Below are 7,808 nucleotides of genomic sequence, written 5' to 3'. Positions count from 1 at the left end.
TGGCTGCATAGTATTCCATGGTGTAAAAGGGGTTAAATCATCTGTAATAATAAGGAGGAAACCAAGAATGTCTCTGTTTTAAGAGTACCCCATTGCCCAATTTATAAAACTTAGCAATACTGCAGGACTTCCCCCAAAAAAATGCCATAAAAAGAGTATAAACAAACAAACAAAAATGTCCCCATTGAGGCAAGGAGGGCAGACTTTTGTATTCCTGTATCTATCAACCAGTCATTGGATGTACACTGCCCCCAGGGATGAGGCTTAACACTTCTGATGACAATTTCCGGGGAGAGATTCACCTCTGAGCTGAGTAAGAAGGACTATAATACTACTGTTCTCAACAAGAGAAGCAGGAGCCAGAATAAATGAGGCCCATTGGATCAGAATAAAACGTATGGAAGAGAGGTGAACTGAGCATAAATTTCTGATTATTCTGATATGCTTTTTCCAATCCAAGTCAGAAGCATTGAAATCTATCTGAATAATATAAAGGTTGGTTTAAATGATAAGCATCAAGCATTTTACTTTAAAAACAGAACTTACCTTCTTATCCAGCATCAGGAAACATTTATAAAATTTGATCAAGTATTTAGGTTATAGAAAATACTTAATTACCTTAAAGGCATAGTCTCTACAATGTTGTAGTGGAAGCAATAATCATAAAAGTTATAAGAGAATAACTAATCAGTAAAAAACTCAAAGTAGACTCCAAAATAATAAAGCTAGAGTCAAAATGACAAATAGAAATGAAGTTACTATTCCTAACAAACAAAAGTTGCTTATAAATTAAACAGGAAATGAATTAACACCTTAATAGAAACAAAAAACATTAACAGACAATTCAGAAAAATAAAGAGTACTCATGATTACCTAATATGTGAAATATGTTTGGCTTCACTTAAAATTTTTTTAATGAAAATCAAACAATATCAAGATACACTTTTCACTTATCAGTTTGGCAAAGGTTAAAATGATTGACAAGCCCATTGCTGCCCAATCCGTCTCCTGCAAGGATGGGGAAAGACGATCTAAATTGGACCATCTTCCTGGAAAGCAGTTTGACATTTGAATAAAAATATGCTTACCATTTTACTCAGCAATTCTACTTTAATTTATCCTTTTGTAGCAGCTTTTTTAAAGTTGAAGTATAATTTACGTATAGTAGTGAAAGTTGCCCTTTTTAGGGTACTAGTTTTGACAAATGTACAGTCATGTAACCACCACAATACAAAACAGTTGATCATCCTTCCTTCCAAATTCCTTCATTTTACTGCTTTCTAGTCAAACCATTCCCCCAGTCTTACCACTGATCTGTTCTCTGTCACTAGACTGTCACCTTTTCCAGATCTGTTCTCTGTCACTAGACTGTCACCTTTTCCAGAATGTCATATAATGGAATCATATAAGATGTAGCCTTTTGAGGCTAGCTTCTTTCACTTAGTATACTACATCTGAAATCCATCCATGTGGTTGTATGTATTCCACCATACAGATGTACCAAAATTTGTTTATACATTACCCAACTGAAGAATATTTCGGTTGTTTCCAGTTTTGACAATTTAATAGCTTTTTTCTTTTATGGATTGTCATATCTAAAAAATCTTTGCCTAACCAAAGATCACAACAATTTTCTTCTGTTTTCTCTGAAGAGTTTTATAGTTTCAGGTTTTATATCTATTTAGGTCTAAAATCTATTTTGTGTTCTTTCTTTCTTTTTTTTTTTTTTTTGGAGATGGAGTCTTGCTCTGTTGCCCAGGCTGGAGTGCAGTGGTGCGATCTCGGCTCACTGCAACCTCCGCCTCCCGGGTTCAAGCGCTTTTCCTGCCTCAGCCTCCTGAGTAGCTGGGACAACAGGCGCAAACCACCATGCCTGGCTAATTTTTGTATTTTTAGTAGAGACAGGGTTTCACCATGTTGGTCAGGCTGATCTTGAACTCCTGACCTCGGGATCCACCCGCCTCAGCCTCCCAAAGTGCTGGGATTACAGGCATGAGCCACCATGCCCGGCTCATTTTTTATTTCTTTCATTAGAGTTTTGCAGTTGCAAGCATACAGATCCTACACATAGTTTGTTAGATTTATATTTGAAAATCTCATTTTTGGTTCTATTTCATTTTTTGGTGCTATTTTGATTTCAGTTTCTAATTACTCATTCCTAGTTACAGAAATATAATTATATTTGCATGTTGACCTTATATCCTGTTACCTTGCTAAACTCACTCATTAGTTCTAGTACCTTTTCTGAAGATTCCTTGAAATTTTCTACAAAGTCAATTATGTCATCTGCAAATAAACACAGTTTTATTTCTTCCTTCCCACGCCATAAGTTTTTTATTTCTTGTTCTTGCCTTTTTGCATTAGCCAAGACATCCAGTATGTTAAATATGAGTAGTGAGTGGACTTCCTTGCCGTGTTCCCAACATTAGAGGAAAAGCACTCTGTTTGTTTGTTTGTTTTTTTCTTTTTTTCTTTTTTGAGATGGAGTCTTGCTTTGTCAGCCCAGGCTGGAGTTCAGTGGTGTGATCTTGGCTCACTGCAACCTCCACCTTCTGGGTTCAAGCAGTTCTGCCTCAGCCTCCAGAGTAGCTGGGATTACGGGCATGCACCACCACACCCGGCTAACTTTTTTGTATTTTTAGTAGAGACGGGGTTTTACCATGTTGGTAAGGCGGGTCTCGAACTCCTGACCTCATGATCCGCCCACCTCAGGCTCCCAAAGTCCTGGGATTACAGGTGTGAGCCATTGTGCCCGGCCAGAAAAACACTCTTTTTCTCTTTTATCATCAAATGTGATGTTACTGACAGGTTTTTTGTAGAGATGCTTTGTCAGGTTGAGGAAGTTCCCTTCTAGTCCTAGTTTTCTGAGAGTTTTTATCATGAATGGCAGTCGAATTTTGTCACATTCTCTTTCTGCATCTATTGGGATGATCATGTACTTCTTTCATCTGTTGACAAGGTAAGTTAATTACATTGATCAATTTTTGAATATTGAACTAGCCTCATTCATATTCATAGTTTTGTTATTGAAAAGGAAGAATTAAAATTTTCCTTATTCACAGACAATATGATTGTATGGAAAGTTCAAACAAATCTACAAATAAATTATTAGTAAGCGAATTTAGCAAATTTTCTGGATTTGAAGTATTTATATACTATATATATAACAGTGACCATTAGAAAATGAAAATTTAAAAATATAACTTATACAATAACTTTTACAAATTATATTCCTATAAATAAATCAAACAAAAGATTTATAAGAAGACCCTTATAAGGTAAACTATAAAACACTGAGAGACTAAACAAAAGAAGAAACACACCATGTTTATGGATTTGAAAACTCAACATCATAAATAAGGTGATTATTCCAAATTGATCTACAGAATCAATTCAGTCCCAAATAAAATTTCAAAAACGTTTTTAAGGAACTAACAAAGTGATTCTAAAATTTACATGGAAATGTATAGAACCAAGACTAGCCAAGATAATCTTGAAGAAGAACAAAGTAGGAGAACTTAATCAGGTATCCAAACTTATTGTAAAGTTACAGTAAATAAGACAGTGTGGTACTGGTTGACGGAAAGACAAATAGATTAATGGAATAGAATAGAATTCAGAAAGAGACCCAAGCCTATACAGACATTTGATTTGTGACAAAGTAGGCAAGACAAAGAAAAGAAATGATGGTATTTCCATGGTTAATTTTTACAAATTTGTGTTCTAGTATTTGTCATGTTGTACTATAAACTGGAACAATCTATTTAGGGGAAGAAACTGGATTTTATTCATATTGCATAACACTAGCTGCTAAAACAAGCTCTGGTGTATACTAGGTGCTTAATAAGTGTTGATAACCAGCCAGGCGCGGTGGCTGATGTCTGTAATCCCAGCACTTTGGGAGGCCAAGGCAGGTGGATCAACTGAGGTCAGGAGTTCAAGACCAGCCTGGCCAACATGATGAAACCCCATCTCTACTAAAAATACAAAAATTAGCTGGCTGTGGTGGCATGAGCCTGTAATCCTAGCTACTCGGGAGGCTGAGGCATGAGAATTGCTTGAACCCAGGAGGTGGAGGTTGCAGTGAGCAGAGATGGTGCCACTGCACTCCAGCCTGGGCGATAGAGCGAGACTTTGTCTCAAAAAAAAAAATATATTGTTGATAGCAAATGGCCAAAGCACTAAGGAAAGATCATGTGAAGCTACATGTTTTAGGAGTCCTATGCTGTTCCACTAATTGGCAACTAGGCAGTGATCAATGGAAATGACAGCAGGAGGATACTGCATCGGTCGGTGCTCTCTGAATCTATTTGACCTGTAACGCTACTGCCACTGCCACCATCAGAGAGAATACAACTGACTCTTCTCACTTCCACACACAAACTTCAGACCACATAAATGTTCTGTGACTACTTCCTCCTTCTAGATTAACCTGATTTTACCTTGTAAGTGAGAAAAGAGGGCATAAGGAATATAATTTTCCCTTCATCTCAGCCCTAGCACAACAGGAACATTCATTTTATAACTTGTCTAGAGACATGTGAAACAGGCTGTTCGAATGCATGGGGAAGTCCCACAATGGAGCCATCTCTATCTTTTCAGGCAGGAAATTAATACCATAATTCTTCTCTCCATGGTTTATCACCACACACAAAAGCCATCTTTCAACATCAGTATGAGGATTGTGCCTAAGGGGTCTCAAAATGCAGAAAGAGTTGTTCAGGACAAAGCAGAATTAAAAATAACAAATTTCTAAAATAGTATTCAGATATCCTTTATATAAAAAATAAGACTTGGTACAGTAGCTCACATCTATAATCCCAACACTTTGGAGGCCAAGGCAGGAGGATCACTGGAGGCCAGGAGCTCAAGACTAACCTGGGCAACATAGTTAGCTCTCATCTCTACAAAAATAATTTTGTTTTAATGAGCCAGGTGTAGTGGCATGCACCTGTATTCCCAGCTATTCAGGAGGCTGAGACAGGAGGAGTGCTTGAACCCAGGAGTCTGAGACTGTAGGGAGCTATGACTGCACCACTTCACTCCAATAAAGGGCAATAAAGTGAGAACCTGTCTCACAAAAAAAAAGAAAAAGAAAGAAAGAAAGAAAGAAAAAGAAAAGAAAAGAAAGGCAGGCAGGCTGAGCAGAGTTTAGAGGAAAACTATTGAGAAGATAATGTCACATAATGAGGTTGGGGTGTTTTATATTTTAGAATATAGCATCTTGGCTTGTGATGGTTTGATTTACTTTTTTCTTTTTTTCTTTTTTTTTTTTTTTTGAGATGGAGTCTTGCTCTGTTGCCCAGACTGGAGTGCAGTGGCACAATCTCAGCTCACTGCAGCCTCGGCCTCCCAGGTTCAAGCGATCCTCTCCTGTCTCAGCCTCCCAAGTAGCTGGGATTACACATGTGTGCCACCACACCTGGCTAATTTTTGTATTTTTAGTAGAGAAAGGGTTTTGCCATGTTGCCCAGACTGGTTTGGAACTCCTGACCTCAGGTGATCCACCCGCCTCAGCCACCCAAAGTGCTGGGATTACAGGTGTGAGCCACCTCACCTGGCCAACTTACATTTTTCAAAACTATTCTGATGGGTTTATCAGGGTATTAAATGCATTTTACACTTATGATATTTTCAACTAATGGTGAGTTTATTGGGACATAACCCCATCATAAGTCAAGGAGCATTTGTATTAATTTTTTAATTACCAGTTAGTCAGGGTTCTCCAGAGAAACAGAACCAAAAGGATATATATATATATATGAATTGACTCATGTGATTGTGGAGCTGGAAAGTCTCAAATCTGCAGACCAGGCTGGAGACAGAACTCCTTCCTCTGGGGACCTCGCTCTTTTCTCATAATGTCTGTAACTGATTGGACAAGGCCCACGTACATTATGGAGAGTAATATGCTAGCTCAAAGCCTACTGATTTAAGTGTTAATCAGTTTAAACAGTACCTTCACAGCAACACCTAGACTGGTATTAGACTAAACAACTGGGCACCATGGCTTGGTCAAGTTGATACACAAAATTAGCTATTATATCTTTATATCTTTAGTACAGATTCTACGTATTAGAAAGATGAAAACATCATGCCACTCCTAATTCCAGCCTTTCCAAATGCTTTAAGATGCCATGCAATCACATGCTAAAATCTGATTCACTGACCCAGAGAAATAAGTAACTACTTACTAATACAGCAGCCCTTGAACATGGTTCCATGATCTATTCAGACCTCTTGAAGGATGACAGAAACATTCTAATGGTAAATGAGAACAATATTTGACATTGCCATATTTTCTTATGAACATAAGCATAAACTACAACATTAAATAGTAACATCGGAGGATCATCAGATTGTATTAAAGTTTAACATTTTATAAGACTGACATGCTGCCAACTGTGCCAACAGGATGATTAAAGTTTAACATTTTAGATACCTGTTTTGGGGAAATTATGTCTGAACATCATGATTTTACTTTTATAGCATTATTTCATCATCATATTAGTATTGTGTTTATTTTCATAAGGAACAAGATATAGTTCTCTTTCAATAATCAACATGTAGGTACACTAAATGTGATTTTGACAGATTATAATGATTACATTGGTCATGTTATAGTATAGGTTCTGTCAGGATTGTACAGTAATTGCTTAAATTTTTCTGAGTTCAGAGCTTACTGATATAATTCCATTTGACTTAATAAACAAATCTAATCCATGTAAATGCTGACATTATGATTTATTTGCATTTTACTACTGAATTTTTAGTTTTAATTACAAGAAGCCAATATCACTCATGACTTGAAAATTATTGCCCCTGTTTTAAGTAAAATTTTGTCCAACATTTTCCAGAAAAGCGGGATCAATGATTGTTACTTTCCCATTTTTAATTTTTGAGAGGTTTCTATATTAACAATTTTTATTTCTGCCAAATATGTCTAGCAAAGAAATCTCTCAACCTCATGAACTTGAACTAAGTGTGAAATTCCTGTTGCTCTCTCAGAAATTTCTGGTTTGGAATTCTGACAAGCAGAGAAATGGAATAAAAAGGATTTCTGCAGTGAAAGACACTTGAATAATGCCTTGAAAATGAAAGCAAACTATCTAACACATAACAAAAACCTATGTAGGAAACATGTATCAAAGGATTTAAAAAGGCACAGTAGTATAGAAACAAAAGAATAGAATACTAATCTTTTAAAAACAAATAACTACAAATGGAATTTATGACACAAGAGCCTGGTATAGGACAAGCTTTACAGAATGCAAAAATTAATCACATAGCATAGCATTAAGTGGTGAAAAATGAGTAATATTTGATTCTTCAGTTTTGCCAACCCAATCATTCAGGCCTTGAAAATTAGTATTGAACATGGAGTCCAACTTATCTCAAACTAAAAATGGTCACAAAGATATATGTAGTTAATCTAAGTCAAAGAACCCACTAAACTGAAATGGCCATTTACACACTCAACAAAAGCAGGCATATCCAAGAAATAAATTCTATACTACGTTAGTTTGTAGTGATCAAAGTGGTTACCAAGAAAGACAGAAAATCTGAAAAGCAAGCAGTCAAGAGCAGTAACTACTGCCTAAAGAGAGAGAATAAGATTACTGACAATGATGGAATGGTTTCAGGAGGAAATGAGAAAATCACATGTCAACGAATGGAATTTTCACAAAGGAAAATAGCCACAGTTTACCCGAGCTTTGACACTCAGTAGGCTAGAAATAAATGCATTGCTGACATATGATTCATAGGACATTAGTAACTAAATCACCAAGTAACGAAAAAACTCAGAG

General features: G+C 36.4%; 1 long non-coding RNA gene across 1 annotated transcript in view; it reads right to left on the bottom strand.

The window, feature by feature from the left end:
• Positions 1–2,720: 2,720 nt before the first annotated feature.
• Positions 2,721–7,808, bottom strand: part of LOC105372558 (uncharacterized) — a 44,594-nt gene continuing 39,506 nt past the window's right edge. The window contains exons 3-4 of the long non-coding RNA XR_001754528.1: positions 6,195–6,261; positions 2,721–2,948 (exon numbers count right to left, since the gene is read on the bottom strand). This is a non-coding gene — a long non-coding RNA (uncharacterized LOC105372558). The remainder of the gene's footprint in view (positions 2,949–6,194; positions 6,262–7,808) is intronic.

The sequence above is a fragment of the Homo sapiens genome, chromosome 20, assembly GCF_000001405.40.
Source record: "Homo sapiens chromosome 20, GRCh38.p14 Primary Assembly".
NCBI lineage: Eukaryota > Metazoa > Chordata > Mammalia > Primates > Hominidae > Homo > Homo sapiens.
The sequence above is the reverse complement of the archived record's forward strand: the minus strand, read 5'-3'. Positions and strand labels throughout refer to the sequence as shown.